This window comes from Homo sapiens, chromosome 1 (genome assembly GCF_000001405.40).
Source record: "Homo sapiens chromosome 1, GRCh38.p14 Primary Assembly".
NCBI classification, from domain to species: domain Eukaryota; kingdom Metazoa; phylum Chordata; class Mammalia; order Primates; family Hominidae; genus Homo; species Homo sapiens.
This window is the reverse complement of record NC_000001.11, coordinates 41194519-41213644: the sequence shown is the minus strand read 5'-3', so window position 1 is coordinate 41213644 and position 19126 is coordinate 41194519. Positions and strand designations below refer to the sequence as shown.

Genomic DNA, 19126 nt, shown 5'->3' with positions numbered 1-19126 from the left:
GCGGGTATGATCTAATGGTAATAAATGGGGGGTAATTTAGACTTGTTTGTTCAGATTCTTCTTGGTCTCTCTGTGTCTTTGGCTCCTTTCCTCTAGGAACCTGTCACATGAGGGTCTTATGACTTGCTTCTGGAAGAGTTCAGAAAACCCATAAAACCTGGGAAGGTTTTATGTCCTGCTACAGAGGAGGAGATGGAGGAAGGTGAAGGTTACCTTCCTGCTTCTGTTGTTTTCCCACATTCCTTCAGCTTAAAATATTTGGGGATTACCATGTCCTGAAGCCCATCACAAACATACAACAAAAGTGAAAGGGTTTATAATGAAAAACATTATAGCCACAAGCTAAATTTTACCAATACTTGTAAATATCACATATCTATGTGTCTTCCCTTTACCCACCAGCTGTATTCAAATTTCTCTATTGATTCTTTGGGACTTTTCTGTAAAAGGTTTGTAACTAATTTGGAGGCTGGGAATGCAAGTATGTTTCAAATATTTGTAATTAAATTGTACTTTAACAACTTACATTGCTTTTTACCTCTGATGAATTTTATTTACCAAGTTATTTATTATTTGGATCTATCTGTACTATTCGTGTTCCTACACTCTTATTTGTAGCATGGATTCATTTACTGGCATACAGATCATCCATTGCATTTTCCAGAGAATACCTTTAGTTAATCTTTTTTAATGTCAAATTTATAGTAGGTTCTTTATATTAGTCCTTGTCTTTTTCTCCTGTTAAAATATGTATCTTTTTTTTTCCCTCCAGACAGAGTCTCACTTTGTTGCCCAAGCTGGAATAAAGTATGTATTTTTAAAAATTAATTTAAAAAAATGATGCTGCATATTTTGTGCCTAGTGGCAAACACTGCAGCTAAAAAGCTCTGTGTGTACAGAGTGGGTTGCCAGCATGGTCTTAAAATCTCATGTATCTCAATATTTTCTATCATGACCGTTTCTTGTTTCTGAGCTTGGGGTGGTTGGTTTGTTTTTCAGGAAAACTGGACTATTTAGTATGGCTAAGGATTAAATACAGTCTTTTGCCTATGTTTGGTTAGAGCCTCTCAGCTTTGATTGATGTTCTCCATTATATGTTACAGAAATTTTTGTTTCTGGTTCTTTGATGTCACTCTTTCCTATTTTCTGGTACTGTAAAGTATGTACTCATATTTGTAAAATCTTTTGTCATCACAATGCATATCTTTTAAATGAGTTTTAATTAGATAGAACATGTCTTTTTATTACATGGATTTCCTTAAGCTGTAAGAACTGTATTCAGAAAAATCTTTGAAAAGCTAAATTTTTTATTCTTATTTTTCTGAGTCTGCTTCCTAGGGAATGAAAAGCTAAAATTATATTCATGATTGTGTCTCCCAACTCCTTCCATCCACTCATTACCTTTATGTAATGATCCTGTTGAATTTGAGAGTGACTTACAAATACTAAAGTGCCCGACTTGTTTTGTTTCGTATTTATTTATTTATACTTTAAGTTCTAGGGTACATGTGCACAACAAGCAGGTTTGTTACATAGGTATACATGTGCCATGTTGGTTTGCTGCACCCATCAACTCATTTACATTAGGTATTTCTCCTAATGCTATCCCTCCCCCAGCTCCCTACCCCGCAACAGGCCCTGGTGTGTCATGTTCCCCGCCCTGTATCCAAGTGTTCTCATTGTTCAGTTCCCACCTATGAGTGAGAACATGTGGTGTTTGGTTTTCTGTCCTTGTGATAGTTTGCTAAGAATTATGGTTTCCAGCTTCATTCATGTCCCTGCAAAGGACATGAACTCACCCTTTTTTATGGCTGCATTGTATTCCATGGTGTATATGGGCCACATTTTCTTAATCCAGTCTGTCATTAATGGACATTTGGGTTGGTTACAAGTCTTTGCTATTGTGAATAGTGCCACAGTAAACATATGTGTGCATGTGTCTTTATAGTAGCATGATTTATAATCCTTTGGGTATATACCCAGTAATGGGATCGCTGGGTCAAATGGTATTTCTACTTCTAGATCCCTGAGGAATCACCACACTGTCTTCCACAGTGGTTGAACTAATTTACACTCCCACCAACAGTGTAAAGGTGTTCCTATATCTCCACATCCTCTTCAGCATCTGTTGTTTCCTGTCTTTTTAATCGCCATTCTAACTGGCGTGAGATGGTATCTCATTGTGGTTTTGATTTGCATTTCTGTGATGACCAGTGATGATGAGCATTTTTTCATGTGTCTGTTGGCTGCATAAATGTCTTCTTTTGAGAAGTGTCTGTATTCATATCCTTTGCCCACTTTTTGATGGGGTTGTTTGTTTTTTTCTTGTAAATTTGTTTAAGTTCTTCATAGATTCTGTATATTAGCCCTTTGTCAGATGGACGGATTGCAGAAATTTTCTCCCATTCTGTAGATTGCTTGTTCACTCTGATGATAGTTTCTTTTGCTGTGCAGAAGCTCTTTAGTTTAATTAGGTCCCATTTGTCTATTTTGGCTTTTGTTTCCATTGCTTTTGGTGTTTTACTCATGAAGTCTTTGGCCAGGCACAGTAGCTCACGCCTGTAATCCCTGCACTTTGGGAGGCCGAGGCAGGTGGATCACGAGGTCAGGAGATTGAGACCATCCTGGCCAACACGGTGAAAGCTTGTCTCTATGAAAAATACAAACATTAGCTGGGCATGGTGGTGTGTGCCTGTAATCCCAACTACTGGGGAGGCTGAGGCAGGAGAATCGCTTGAGCCAGGGAGGCGGAGGTTGCAGTGAGTCGAGATCATGCCATTGCACTCCAGCCTGAGTGACAGAGCAAGACTCCATCTTAAAAAAAAAAAAAAGTCATGAAGTCTTTGCCCATGCCTATATCCTGAATGGTATTGCCTAGGTTTTCTTCTAGGGTTTTTATGGTTTTAGGTCTAACATTTAAGTCTTTAATTCATCTTGAATTAATTTTTGTATAAGGTGTAAAGAAGGGATCCAGTTTCAGCTTTCTGCATATGGCTAGCCAGTTTCCCCAGCACCATTTATTAAATAGGGAATCCTTCCCCTATTTCTTGTTTTTGTCAGGTTTGCAAAAGATCAGATGGTTGTAGATGTGTGGTTTTATTTCTGAGGCCTCTGTTCTGTTCCATTGGTCTATACATCTGTTTTGGTACCAGTACCATGCTGTTTTGGTTACGTAGTCTTGTAATGTAGTTTGAAGTCAGGTAGTGTGATGCCTCCAGCTTTGTTCTTTTTGCTTAGGATTGTCTTGTCTATGTGGGCTCTTTTTTGGTTCCATACGAACTTTAAAGTAGTTTTTTTCCAATTTTGCAAAGAAAGTCATTGGTAGCTTGATGGGGATGGCGTTGAATCTGTAAAGTACCTTGGGCAATGTGCCATTTTCACGATATTGATTCTTCCTATCCATGAGCATGGAATGTTCTTCCATTTGTTTGTGTCCTGTTTTATTTCATTGAGCAGTGGTTTGTAGTTCTCCTTGAAGAGGTCCTTCACATCCCTTGTAAGTTGGATTCCTAGGTATTTTATTCTCTTTGTAGCAATTGTGAATGGGAGTTCACTCATGATTTGGGTCTCTGTCTGTTATTGATATATAGGAATGCTTGTGATTTTTGCACATTGATTTTGTATCCTGAGACTTTGCTGAAGTTGCTTATCAACTTAAGGAGACTTTGGGCTGAGACGATGGGGTTTTCTAAATATGCAATCATGTCATCTGCAAACAGGGACAATTTGACTTCCTCTTTTCCTAATTGAATACCCTTTATTTCTTTCTCTTGCCTGATTACCCTGGCCAGAACTTCCAACACTATGTTGAATAGGAGTGGTGAGAGAGGGCATGCTTGTGCCAGTTTTCAAAGGGAATGCTTCCAGTGTTGGCCCATTCAGTATGATATTGGCTGTGGGTTTGTCATAAATAGCTCTTATTATTTTGAGATATGTCCCATCAATACCTAGTTTATTGAGAGTTTTTAGCACGAAGTGCTGTTGAATTTTGTCAAAGGCCTTTTCTGCATCTATTGAGATAATCATGTGGTTTTTGTCGATGGTTCTGTTTATGCGATGAATTACGTTTATTGATTTGCATATGTTGAACCAGCCTTGCATCCCAGGGATGAAGCCGACTTGATTGTGGTGGATAAGCTTTTCGATGTGCTGCTGAGTTCGGTTTGCCAGTATTTTATTGATGGTTTTTGCATCGATGTTCATCGGGGATATTGGTCTAAAATTTTCTTTTTTTGTTGTGTCTCTGCCAGGCTTTGGTATCAGGATGATGCTGGCCTCATAAAATGAGTTAGAGAGGATTCCCTCTTTTTTTATTGCTTGGAATAGTTTCAGAAGGAATGGTACCAGCTCCTCTTTGTACCTCTGGTAGAGTTCAACTGTGAATCCATCTAGTCCTGGACTTTTTTTGGTTGGTAGGCTATTAATTATTGCCTCAATTTCAGATCCTGTTATTGGTCTATTCAGAGATTCAACTTCTTCCTGGTTTAGTCTTGGGAGGGTGTATGTGTCCAGGAATTTATCCATTTCTTCTAGATTTTCTAGTTTATTTGCGTAGAGGCATTTTGGTAGTTTGTATTTCTGTGGGATTGGTGGTGATATCCCCTTTATCATTTTTTATTGCATCTATTTGATTCTTCTCTCTTTTCTTCTTTACTAGTCTTGCTAGTGGTCTAACAATTTTGTTGATCTTTTCAAAAAACCAGTTCCTGGATTTATTGATTTTTTTGAAGGGTTTTTTATGTTTCTCTCTCCTTCAGTTCTGCTCTGATCTTATTTATTTCTTGCCTTCCGCTAGCTTTTGAATGTGTTTGCTCTTGCCTCTCTAGTTCTTTTAATTGTGATGCTAGTATGTTGATTTTAGATCATTCCTGCTTTCTCTTGTGGGTATTTGGTGCTATAAATTTCCCTCAACACACTGCTTTAAATGTGTCCCTGAGATTCTGGTATGTTGTTTCTTTGTTCTCATTGGTTTCAAAGAACATCTTTATTTCTGCCTTCATTTCATTATTTACCCAGTAGTCATTCAGGAGCAGGTTGTTCCGTTTCCATGTAGTTGTGTGGTTTTGAGTGAGTTTCTTAATACTGAGTTCTAATTTGATTACACTGTGGTCTGAGAGACAGTTTGTTGTGATTTCTGTTCTTTTACATTTGCTGAGGAGTGCTTTACTTCCAAATATGTGGTCACTTTTATTTTTTATTTTTTTTTTTTAATTTTTTTCTTATACTCTAAGTTTTAGGGTACATGTGCACATTGTGCAGGTTAGTTACATATGTATACATGTGCCATGCTGGTGCGCTGCACCCACTAATGTGTCATCTAGCATTAGGTATATCTCCCAATGCTATCCCTCCCCCCTCCCCCGACCCCACCACAGTCCCCAGAGTGTGATATTCCCCTTCCTGTGTCCATGTGATCTCATTGTTCAATTCCCACCTATGAGTGAGAATATGCGGTGTTTGGTTTTTTGTTCTTGCGATAGTTTACTGAGAATGATGGTTTCCAGTTTCATCCATGTCCCTACAAAGGATATGAACTCATCATTTTTTATGGCTGCATAGTATTCCATGGTGTATATGTGCCACATTTTCTTAATCCAGTCTATCATTGTTGGACATTTGGGTTGGTTCCAAGTCTTTGCTATTGTGAATAGTGCCGCAATAAACATACGTGTGCATGTGTCTTTATAGCAGCATGATTTATAGTCCTTTGGGTATATACCCAGTAATGGGATGGCTGGGTCAAATGGTATTTCTAGTTCTAGATCCCTGAGGAATCGCCACACTGACTTCCACAATGGTTGAACTAGTTTACAGTCCCACCAACAGTGTAAAAGTGTTCCTATTTCTCCACATCCTCTCCAGCACCTGTGGTCACTTTTATAATAAGTGCAATGTGGTGCTGAGAAGAATGTATATTCTGTTGATTTGGAGTGGAGAGTTCTGTAGATGTCTATTAGGTCTGCTTGGTGCAGAGCTGAGTTCAAGTCCTGGATATCCTTGTTAACCTGTCTTGTTGATCTGTCTAATATTGACAATGGGGTATTAAAGTCTCCCATTATTATTGTATGGGAGTCTAAGTCTCTTTGCAGGTCTCTAAGGACTTGCTTTATGAATCTGGGTGCTCCTGTATTGGATACATATATATTTAGGATAGTTAGCTCTTCTTGTTGAATTGATCCCTTTACCATTATGTAATGGCCTTCTTTGTCTCTTTTGATCTTTGCTGGTTTAAAATCTGTTTTATCAGAGACTAGGATTGCAACCCCTGCTTTTTTTTCACTTTCCATTTGCTTGGTAGATCTTCCTCCATCCCTTTATTTTGAGCCCATGTGTGTCTCTGCACGTGAGATGGGTCTCCTGAATACAGCACACTGATGGGTCTTGACTCTTTATCCAATTTGCCAGTCTGTGTCTTTTAATTGGGGCATTTAGCCCATTTACATTTAAGGTTAATACTGTTATGTGTGAATTTGATCCTGTCATTATGATGATAGCTGGTTATTTGCCCATTAATTGATGCAGTTTCTTCATAACATCGATGGTCTTTACAATTTGGCATGTTTTTGCAGTAGCTGGTACTGATTGTTTCTTTCAATGTTTAGTGCTTTCTTCAGGAACTCTTGTAAGGCAGGCCTGGTGGTGACAAAATCTCTGAGCATTTGCTTGTCTGTAAAGGATTTTATTTCTCCTTCACTTATGAAGCTTAGTTTGGCGGGATATGAAATTCTGCGTTGAAAATTCTTTTCTTTAAGAATGTTGAATATTGGCCCCCACTCGCTTCTGGCGTATAGGGTTTTTGCTGAGAGAGGCACTGTGTCTGATGGGCTTCCTTTTGTGGGTAACCCGACCTTTCTCTCTGGCTATCCTTAACATTTTTTCCTTGATTTCACCCTTGGTAAATTTGACAATTATGTGTCTTGGGGTTGCTCTTCTCAAGGAGTATCTTTGTGGTGTTCTCTGTATTTCCTGAATTTGAATGTTGGCCTGCCTTGCTAGGTTGGAGAAGTTCTCCTGGATAATATCCTGAAGAGTGTTTTCCAACTTGGTTCCATTCTCCCTGTAACTTTCAGGTACACCAGTCAAATGCAGATTCTTTTCACATAGTCCCATATTTATTGGAGGTTTTGTTCATTTCTTTTTACTCTTTTTTCTCTAATCTTGTCTTTTTGCTTTATTTCATTAATTTGATCTTCAATCACTGATATCCTTTCTTCCACTTGGTCAAATCGGCTACTGAAGCTTGTGCATGTGTCATGAAGTTCTCGTGCCATGGTTTTCAGCTCCATCAGGTCGTTTAAGGTCTTCTCTACACTGTTTATTCTAGTTAGCCATTCATCTAATCTTTTTTCAAGGTTTTTAGCTTCCTTGTGATGGGTTTGAGCATCCTCCTTTAGCTCAGAAAAGTTTGTTATTAACTGACCTTCTGAAGCCTTCTTCTGTCAACTTGTCAAAGTCATTCTCCATCCAGCTTTATTCTGTTGCTGGTGAGGAGCTGCGATCCTTTGGAGGAGAAGAGGCGCTCTGGTTTTTAGAATTTTCAGCTTTTCTGCTCTGGTTTCTCACCATCTTTGTGGTTTTATCTAACTTTGGTCTTTGATGTTGGTGACCTACAGATGGGATTTTGGTATGGATGTCCTTTTTGTTGATGTTGATGCTATTCCTTTCTGTTTGTTAGTTTTCCTTCTAACAGGTCCCTCAGCTGCAGGTCTGTTGGAGTTTGCTGGAGGTCCACTCCAGACCTTGTTTGCTTGGGTATCACCAGCGGAGGCTGCAGAACAGCTAATATTGCAGAACAGCAAATATTGCTGCCTGATCCTTTCTCTGGAAGCTTCGTCCTAGAGGGGCCCCTGCCTGTATGAGGTGTCAGTCGGCCCCTACTGGGAGGTACCTCCCAGTGTTGGGAGAACCACTCCTCTCTTCAAGCTATCAGACAGGGATGTTTAAATCTGCAGAAGTTGTCTGCTGCCTTTTGTTCAGCTATGCCCTGCCCACAGAGGTGAAGTCTATGGAGGCAGTAGGCCTTGTTGAGCTGTAGTGGGCTCTGCCCAGTTCGAGCTTCCTGGCCACTTTGTTTACCTACTCAAGCCTCAGCAATGGCAGATGCCCCTCCCCCCCGCGAGGATGCAGTGGGAAATCAGGGGTCTCACAGCCTTCAGAGCTGAGAGCCCCGAATTGATTGAGGTCAGTCTCAGACTGCTGCGCTAGCAGTGAGCAAGGCTCCATGGGCATGGGACCTGCCGAGCCAGGCACAGGAGAGAATCTCCTGGTCTGCCAGTTGCTAAGACCATGGGAAAAGCACAGTATTTGGGCAGAGGTGTACTGATTTTCCAGGTGCAGTCTGTCACGGCCTCCCTTGGCTAGGAAAGGGAAATCCCCCAACCCTTGTGCTTCACAGGTGAGGTGATGCCCCGTCATGCTTCGGCTTGCCCTCCGTGGGCTGTATCCACTGTCCAACCAGTCCCAATGAGATGAACCAGATACCTCAGTTGGAAATGCAGAAATCACCCGTATTCTGCATCGATCATGCTGGGAGCTGCAGACTGGAGCTGTTCCTATTCAGCCATCCTGCAGTTCAGTCATTTTTGTTTCATTTTAAGAGATTTTCCTTAACTGTTTTTCTCTCAGAAATCAATTTGTGGGTTGTAATTATAAGCCATCCAAGTATAATGTATTTTCAATTCAGTAAGTAGCCACTATTCTGGTCATATAATTTTTTAGTTTTGTGCCTTTTTTCCTTACTATTAAATTAGCATATACCCATTTCATTAATAAATACCTATTGAGTATCTCCTCTTACACCAGGCACTATTCCAGGTGCTGGGATATAATGCTGAATGAATAACATAAACACCCCAGTGAGAGAGACAAATAAATAGATATGGAAAATATTAAATGGTGCTAACTGCTATGTGGAGAATTAAGAGTGGTATGATAGAAAGGGTCTAGGTGACTACTTTAGTTTGAGTGATCAGGGAAGGATTCTCTGAGGAGGTGACATTTAAGCTAAGACCTGAATGATGAAAAGCCAGACATGTGAATATTGAGGTGGAACATTCCAGGGAGTGTAAAGGCCCCAAGGTCATAAGGAACTTGGCCTCCAACAGGAGCTGAGAAGACCAGTATAGCTGGAGCAAAGCAAAAGGTGAGAGCCATAGGAGATGAAGTAGAAGAGGTAAGTAGGGGTCAGATCATGCAGGACTATGTGGGCCAGGATAAGGTACTTGGATTTGATTTGAAGTGCTATGGGGAGGCTTTGGGAGATTTTAAGCTGGAGAGTGATATGATCTAACTTACCTTAACATATAGTCAGGACAGGATCATATAGGGAAGAAAATAGGTCAATACTGAGAACCTGTAATTCAAACACAGGAAAAAGATTGCATTTGCTGCTAAGGCGTACTAAATAGCCCAGTTTTCCTTGAAAAATCCTAAGCCTAAGAGACAAGAAATTTGGCCAAATTCCATTGTTTTGATTCCCAGCTCCACCATGTACCAACTGTGTAACCTTGGGCAAATTATAAGATATCTCTCTGCACTGGTTTCTCATCATTAAAATGAAGATAATAATAGTGCCTGCAGATAATAATAGTGCCTGCCTTATAGACTAGTGAAAATTGAACAACATTGCTGAGACCAGCTCGGTCGGGGAGACCCTAACCCAGCGGCGCTAGAGGAATTAAAGACACACAGAAATATAGAGGTGTGAAGTGGGAAATCAGGGGTCTCACAGCCTTCAGAGCTGAGAGCCCCGAACAGAGATTTACCCACGTATTTATTAACAGCAAGCCAGTCATTAGCATTGTTTCTATAGATATTCGATTAACTAAAAGTATCCCTTATGGGAAACGAAGGGATGGGCCAAAATAAAGGAATAGGTTGGGCTAGTTAACTGCAGCAGGAGCATGTCCTTAAGGCACAGATCGCTCATGCTATTGTTTGTGGCTTAAGAATGCCTTTAAGTGGTTTTCTGCCCTGGGTGGGCCAGGTGTTCCTTGCCTTCATTCCAGTAAACCCACAACCTTCCTGCGTGGGCGTTATGGCCATCATGAACAAGTCACAGTGCTGCAGAGATTTTGTTTATGGCCAGTTTTGGGACCAGTTTATGACCAGATTTTGGGGGGCTTGTTCCCAACACAACATAATACATGGAATGTGCTTAGAGCAGTGCTTGGCACATAATAAGTACTTAATAGATGTTTAATTTTATATTTCCTTTAGAACTGTGTTTTTGATAGCCATGTGGTTAATATGACTGGATGTAATGAATTTTTTATTTTATTTTATTTTAAGTAAATTTAAAATTAAAAACGGATCTCAATTCAGGTATTAGAAAAATTTTAAGTATGTTTGAAACAATTTGGATATGTGAATTTTCTATGTGAATTTTCTTTTTCAAGTGTAAATTTACAAAATTGAAATACGGATCAAGTATTTGTGATGAAAATTTAGCATCTGAATTGAGGTAAGCTATAAGTGTAAATGTATACCAGATTTTAAAGACACTATACAAATAATGTATTTTCATTAATGATTTTTATGATTACTTGCCAAAATAATATGATATACTGGGTTAAATAAAATGCATTATTAAAATCATTTTTCACTTGTTTCTTTTTTTAAAACTTTTAAAAATATGACTACTAGAAAAATGTAAAAGCCACCTATGTAATTTTATATTTTTCTAGTAATCATATTTTTAAAAGTTAAAAGAAACAAGTGAAAATAATTTTAATAATGCATTTTATTTAATAAATACTGAACATTATGCTTATATTTCTGTTGGATAGCACTGTTCTAGACCCTGGGTCAGGGGAAGGGTAGTAGGAGAGGCATATAGACTAGGAGAGGTGCTTTTTCTAATTACACAAATACCTCTAGAGATTCTGAAACACCTTCATCCAGTGGAGCCTCCCTCCCCATCATATTACTCCTACCTCCTATTCCCTTGCTGAAAATCAGTGCTCTTAGTGAGTCTGCCCTCACTGATAAGAGTTTGTATTCTTCAGGAGTGTCTGGGTGCAAAAAGTTATGAATTGCACTAAATTTAACAAGGTTAGACACCCATTAATGATTTCGATGAAATAAATTTTTGGAGTTCTCTACACTATTAAATAGTATGGTACTACCATATAAAAGTACAGTAAAGTCTACCACGAATCCTGGTCCAATGGACTCCAGAGGCTTAAAGTGAGAAAGAATTAAAGTAGATTTTATGAAAGTAAGGGATGAATTACTAGGTCAAAAGCTGAGGAAGTTGAGGAAGGCATCTTGTGTTCTAAAAGGTAAATTTCTGGGAGGGAAAAAAAAAAAAGGCTGGGCACGTTGGCTCATGCCTGTAATCCCAGCACTTTGGGAGGCCAAGGCAGGCAGATCACAAGGTCAGGAGTTTGAGACCAGCCTGGCCAACATGGTGAAACCCCGTCTCTACTAAAAATACGAAAATTAGCCGGGCGTGGTCGTGGGCACCTGTAATCCCAGCTACTCGGGAGGCTAAGACAGGAGAATCACTTGAACCCAGGATCTTGCAGTGAGCCAAGATCGCACCACTGCACTCCAGCCTGGCCAACAAGAGTGACTCTGTCTCAAAAATAAAAAAACTCAAAAAGCTAAATAACCATAAACTTTGGTCTCTGAAGTGAAACTGGACATGTGTTATTTTTCTCACGCCTCTTGGTTCCTGCTAGTTCTGTGCTTGCATACAAAGATTTCCTGAGTTATTTAAAGAGGCATTATTCTCAGGAGTTGGCATGAAGAAGGTTCCTAGTAAATACTGAGCACTATTCTGCCTGAGCTGTTTAGATTGCTTGTTCTATATTCTTTTTACATTGCCTTAAATTAATTTTTTTTAAAAAAATCAATGATATCCCTTAGCCAAATACCTATTACCTTTCAAAGATTATTTCTTGCCCTCTTAAGTCACTTCGCTAGAGAAGAGAGCCCCTTCCTGAGTTCTTTACCATTTCGGAGTCACAGAATACACATTTCACTGGAAGCCCCTTGTTGGTGAGAGAAGAGGTAGTCTCAGAGTTTCCCAACCAGAAATGAGTGTCAAGGCAATTGCTTGAGTTGCTCATTGGAAGACAACTAATATCACTTGATAAGGTTCCTTATTTCAATTTTCTGTGAAGCCATAAAATCAGATACTTGTAGAGGTGAATGATGAGGAAACAGGCATGCAGCTAGTTTGCAGTAAATGTAGGACCCACCTGGGAAGGCACTAAGAGAACACTTGAGTTCTAACCTTCTGTTTTCTGTTGAGGAATTGGCAGCCCTGAGGAAGTGACTTCTCAGTAGTAGAATGAACCAGGCTAAATCTAGATCTTTCATCTCAGTTTCTTGATACAGAGAAACCATGTTTACCCTCAAGTTTGTAATTCTGTAGGATTCGTACAAGACCCTAGATAATGCCATGGATTTATAACTCCCTCAGTTTTTAAAAGATAAGAATCTGAGACTTTAGAGAGGATTTACAGAATGGTTTATGGATGCTGTTCTGTCAAGTTCAAATTACTTTATTTACCCATCTTCATGGCCCAAGTAGTTGAGGATCTAATCTATTGTCAGGGCTCTTTGTCCAAGGAGATAGTTTTCTATATAGGATTCTAACCTATTAGACTGTAAGAGGTTAAAGTTGATCTTGAGATCTCTGGTCCCTTGTAACATTGACATCTTTCAACGGTCTGCTTAGGCAGTGTGTGAACTGATAAAAAAAAAATGGTAAAGGTTAGTAATCTCTTATCTGTCCGCAAAGCCATATGAGTGAGACCTCAGCTGTTCATTTTGTTATCATGAAAAGCTTTTATTAGGTGACTCCTGTTTATAGATGATGACATGCATTCAAATCTTCACTCCAGAAAACCTTAGAGAAAAAGCCATTCTAAGAAGCGTAATGTTCTGGAGAGCTACAGGATTGTTCCATTATAGATTAAAGTTTTATTTTTAAAAATTATTTTAGTTGGAAATTATTTTAAAATGGATCATACCCCTTCTTCCCTTTAATTTAGTTTAATGAGACTAATTTAGTATGTTTATGTGTGCGTGTGTAAAGGATACAAAGTTCCATGGGTTTTTAGTATCTATTCCTAACTCTGTTTTCCTCACAAGCATTATTATTATTATTATTATTATATTATTATTATTATTATTACATTTATTTATATATTTTTTTGAGACGAGTTTTGCTCTCGCTCAGGCTGGAGTGCAGTGGCGCAGTCTCAGCTCACTGCAAGCTCCGCCTCCTGGGTTCACGCCATTCTCCTGCCTCAGCCTCCTGCGTAGCTGGGACTACAGGTGCCTACCACCACACCCAGCTAATGTTTTTTTGTATTTTTAGTAGAGACGGGGTTTCACCATGTTAACCAGGATGGTCTCGATCTCCTGACCTTGTGATCCACCCGCCTCAGCCTCCCAAAGTGCTGGGATTACAGGCATGAGCCACTGCACCCGGCCACAAGCATTATTTTTATAGAATTGTGAGGTTTCCAGGAATGTATACAGTTGTAAAAAACACCTAGATTTAAGTCTGTGGATTACAATCAAAAAAGATCTGAAAGCCAGTGCCAATTAGTTCCTTCCTTGCATTAATAACACTTTTTTACATTTGTTTAAGATTTGCCTGTTTGCCAAGCCTCTGTACATACACACTGTATATGGTCTATGATAAGTAAACTAGGGATGGTCTTCTTCTTGTTTTAAACTATACTAGGCAGGCATAAGGAAACCGAAAAGAGGATGGACTTTGAAATCAATCTTTCTTTGATTTGAATTTTAATTTAGATTCAGGGGGTACACGTGCAGGTTTGTTACAAGGGTATATTGCATGATGCTGAGGTTTGGGCTTCCATTGAGTTCATCACCCAGATAGTGAACATAGTACCCAATAGGAAGTTTTCAGCATCCTCCCACCCCCACCCCCTATTGTGGAGTCCCTAGTGTGTATTATTCTTACTTTTATATCCATGTGTACCTGATATTTAGCTCCCACTTATAAACAAGTACATGTGATACTTGGTTTTCTGAAATCAGACAACCTTTAATATTAGCTTTTGCATTTAGAAGTTGAGTGACCATGGGTGCCTTAACCTTAACTTCCAAAGTTCAGCTTAAAAAAAATCTAAATGGGAACAGTAATGCCAGAATTGTTGGGTGCTTTAAGTTAAGTAATAAAAACACCTACCAGGAGCACAGTGGATGACTCTCACAAAACAAAATGTTGAGTGGAAGGAAGTGGACATAAAAGAGTACATATGATATGATTTCATTTATATAACATTCAAAACAGGCAAAACTAACCTACGGTGATAGAAGTCAAGACAATGGCTACTCTTAGGTGGAGCAGTAACTGGGAGGGGAGGGCACAGGGGATATTTATTGGGGTGCTAGTAATGTGCTCTTTCTTGGTTTGGAGGTACATTATAAAAATTCACTAAGCTTGTATACTTATGATTTATGCACTTTTGGATAATAATGTTATAGTTTAATAATAAGTTATTTTTAAAGTGCCTAACACATAGTTTATGCTCTTCTGCTATGATGGTTCTTTAGGTTAACAACATGAAAATTTATTTTAACAGAATGATCCTAGCCTCTTTTCCTTGTAATCTTTCCATTTCTTTGTTCTGTAATAGTTCCTTTTTCCTAATTCCAGTTTTATACCTTGGCGTGTTTAATAAATATATACTGATGATAATCCCAATTGGTGTAGTTGGAGGAGTTTAGGTCAGTCAGGCAAGGTGAAATTGAATGTCACTGTCATCTAGGAGTATATACCATTCTCTGATCTTTAGATGATTTGGTGATATTTTGCTTTTCACATGAAGATTTCCCTGATTTGTGTAATACGATCTTGTTGAATATCAGACAGACTCTATCATTTACTTTTTAACGGTGAAATATTGGACATATTCTGTTATTTCTTGCACTTTTAATGCAATCCAATTATAGTGTGGTGGGCTTTGAAATGGTCACTGTCACACCCTGTAGCACCTTACAGTTTTTCCTTGGGTTCTTGTTGCTAAAAGAGAACCATGCTTATTGTTTTTATCTTAACTATTTTTGTACTACAAGGGTAGAAGTAGACTTATATACTAGAAAATTTATGAAAGCTCCTGTTATAAAAAACAATTCTTGAAAATTCAAATTTTAAAAACTGAGGAAGTTACTTCTTCTGCTAAGCACTGCTAGACAATGTGTAGGATATAAAATAAGCCTATGACAATCTCTGCCCTCACAGAGGGTGGACTCCTGCTATAAAGACAGGCTTCTGCTTTGTGGGGGTAGATAGAAAATGAGTTTGTCCACACTTACTTTTTGTCTTTTGGATATTGGCTTTGAGAGAAAGTCTCTGATGGAGATGCTAGCAAGCCCCTCTAAACCCCAGAGAACTGTGGTGATGATCATATGGATTCAGTTGGAGCCAAGAGACAAAGAATGGACTGTGACTTCATCAGCGATCAGTAATATGACAAAGTGTTGGGGGGCTGAGGCAGCACCCTCTATATATCAGACACTTACTTACATTAATTCATGAAAATAGATCATGACATTGAACGTTTCCTAACCTTGGGGTAGGCACTATTACTTCCATTTTAAAGATGTAGAAATTGAGGTCCAGAGACACTTAGTAACCTGTCCAAGTTTACATAGCTAGTGACAAAGTTAGTATTCAAGCCCAAAGCCCATCTGTACTGCATGCTATGTATAGATAGTAACATTATCCAGAAAAGGAATATGTTTATTAGAAGATGAACAGTTTGGAAACATGTTAAACAGGAAGTCATAAAGAAAGTTGATAGAGGACTACATCTAGGACTACCCAGGAAAAGGAATTCTGTGGCTCAAGATTGGATTTCTTGAAAGTCCCCATGAAGCTCTTTGTGTTCCTTTTGCAAGACAGTTGAATGAGGCTTTCAAACACTGATGCACATCCACCTGTTGCCTGTTTTTTTTTAATTGTGGCAAAATATACATAAACTTAAAGTTTACCATCTTAAGACATTAAGTACATTTATAGTGTGTGTAGCCTGCACCATTATCCATCCCTAGAATTTTTTTTAATCATCCCAAATAGAAATTCTGTACGCATTAAATATAACTCTCCTCTCTCCACCAGTTCCCTGGTAACCCTTATTTAACTTTCCATCTCTATAAATTTACCTATTATAGGTTCGTCCTGTAAGTAGAATCGTACAGTAGTTGTCCTTTTGTGTCTGGCCAGTTTCACTTAGCACAGTGCCTTGAAGGTTCATCCATGTTGTAGCATTTATCAGAATTGCATTCCTTTTTATGGCTGAGTTTTCCATTGTATGTGTATACCATGTTTTGTTAATCCAGTCATCTGTTGATGGACACTTAGATTGTTTTCCACTTTTGGCTATTGTGAATCATGCTGCTATGAACATTGGTGTACAGGTGTGTTTGAATCCCTGCTTTCAGTTCTTTTAGGTATATAACTAGGGGTAGAATTGCTGGATCATATGATAATTCCACATTTGACTTTTTGAAGAACTGCCAACCATTTTCCACAGCAGCTATACCATTTTACATTCCCACCAGCAATGCATGATGGTTGCAATTTTCCCATATCCTCACCAGCATTTGTTATTTTTCTTTTTTCATAACAGCCATACTAATAAGTGTGAAGTAGTATATCATTGTAGGTATTTTTTGCATTTCTTTAGTGATTATTGATGCTGAGCATCTTTTCATGTGGTTATTGGCCATCTGTATATCTTCTTTGGAGAATTGTCTTTTGCCCATTTTTGAATTGGGTTGTTTAGGTTTTTAGTTCTTCTTGTTGTTGAATTATAGGGGTTCCGTGTATATTTTGGATATCGACAGACTACAAACATGATTTGCAAGTATTGTCTCCGATTCTGTGGACTGTCTTTTCACTCTGATGATAGGATCTTTTGATGCACAACAGTTTTTCATTTTGGTGAAGTCCAGTTTATCTGTTTTCTGTTTTGTTGCCTGTGTTTTATCTGTCATATCCTATAGTCATTGCCAAATCTAAAATGTTAAAGATTTTCCCCTATGTTTTCTTCTAAGAGTTTTATAGTTTTAGCTCTTACATTTATTTAGGTCATTGATAAATTTTGAGTTAATTTTTTTGTATATGGTATAAGGTAAGTATTCAACTTCATTCTCCTGCATCTGGATATTCAGTTTTCCCAGACCTGTTTGTTGAAGAGTGTCCTTTTCCCATTAAATGGTCTTGGGACTTTTATTGAAAATTAACTATTTTTGAGCTCTCTGTTCTATTACATTGGTCTGCTTATCTATCCTTATGCCAATACTGTACTATTTTGATTACTGTAGCTTTGTAGTACATTCTGGAATTAGAAAGTGTAAGTTTTCTAACTTTGTTCTTTTTTTCAAGATTGTTTGAGCTATTTGGAATCCTTTAAGATTCTTTGTGAATTTTAGGACAACTTTTTCTATTTGTGCAAAAATGCCGTTTGGATTTTGATAGGGATTGCGTTGAATCTGTAGATTGCTTTGGATAGTATTGCCATCTTAACAATATTAGTCTTTCAGTCCATGAACACAGAACAGAGTATCTTTTCATTTACTTACATCTTCTTTAATTTCTTTCTGCAATATTTTGTAGTTTTCAGTGTACAAGTCTTTAGCCGTGTTAGTTAAATTTATTCCTAAATATTTTATTCTTTTTGATACTATTTAAATGGAATTATTTTCTTAATTTTCTTTGCACACTGTTCATAGCTAGCATATAGAAATGCAACTAAACTTTGTGTGTGACTTTGTATCCCGCAACTTTGCTGAATTCATTTATTAGCTCTAATAGCTTTTTTGTGGGATCTGTAGAATTTCCTACATATAAGAGTATATCATCTGCAAACAGAGATCATTTTACTTCTTCCTTTCAAATCTGAATGCCTTTAATTCCTTTTTCTTGCCTAATTACTTTAGCTAGAACTTCCAGTACTATGTTTAATAGAAATGGTGAAAGTGGCTATCTTTGTCCTATTCCTAATCTTAGGGGAAAAGCTTTCAGTCTTTCACCATTGAGTATAATATTAGCTGTGAGTTTTTTATATATGGCCTTTATTATGTTGAAGAAGTTCCCTTCTATTCTTAGTTTATTGTGTATTTTCATTATAAAGCACATTAAATTTTGTCAAATGCTTTCTCTACATTGACATTACCATGTGCCTTTTTTTTTTACTTCATTCTATTTATGGTATATTATGTTAATTGATTTTCATATGTTGAACCATCCTTATATTCTGGGAATAAACCTCACTTGGTAATTGTGTGTGCTCTTACTATGCTACTAAATTTTGTTTGCTAGTATTTTGTTGAGGACTTTTGCATTCTTAAGGGCTGTTTTTGAAATTAAAGTTTTATTGGAACACAGCCATGCCCATTCATTTCTGTATGATCGGTATTATCTATGGCTAGTTTCATGTTTCAATAGAGGCCACACGGCCTGGTAAGCTGCAAATATTTATTATCTGGCCTTTTTTTTTTTTTTTTTTTTTTTTTTTTGAGAGAGAGTTTCAATCTTGTTGCCTGGGCTAGAGTGCAATGGTATGATCTTAGCTCACCACAACCTCCACCTCCCAGGTTCAAGCAATTCTCCTGCCTCAGCCTGCCCGGTAGGTGGGATTACAGGCATGTGCCACCAAGCGCAGCTAATTTTGTATTTTTAGTAGAGATGGGGTTTCTCCAGGTTGCTCAGGCTGGACTTGAACTCCCGATCCACCCACCTCGGCCTCCCAAAGTGCTGGGATTATAGGCATGAGCCACCATGCCCAGCCTATCTGGCTCTTCATAGAAAAGGTTTGCAAACTTCTGAGTTAGACAAACAATTTCTTACTCTGGTTCCACACTGCCCAAGAAATCTGATTCTCATTTGGTTCCTGTGTAGATGCACCTTTAAAGTCAAATGGCCCTGGTCATGTACCAGTAAATATTTTAGGCGGTTATATTTCTCACAGTAAATTAATAAATTAACATTCTAGTTTACCTATTATTGTGTAATGACCTATAGCTCTATCCAAAAGAGTCTGCTCCATTTTTAACAGAATCAGGGTTCTGAACTCATAAAGCTGAGGAAAGTATCCTGGAAATTGGAAACTTAACCAAATTGCTGCCCTTG

At 38.2% G+C, this 19126-nt stretch overlaps 1 protein-coding gene across 37 annotated transcripts in view; it reads left to right on the top strand.

Moving 5' to 3' along the window:
* The window catches only part of SCMH1 (Scm polycomb group protein homolog 1), a 215105-nt gene that overhangs the window by 28662 nt on the left and 167317 nt on the right, over nt 1–19126 (top strand). The window lies entirely within an intron of this gene.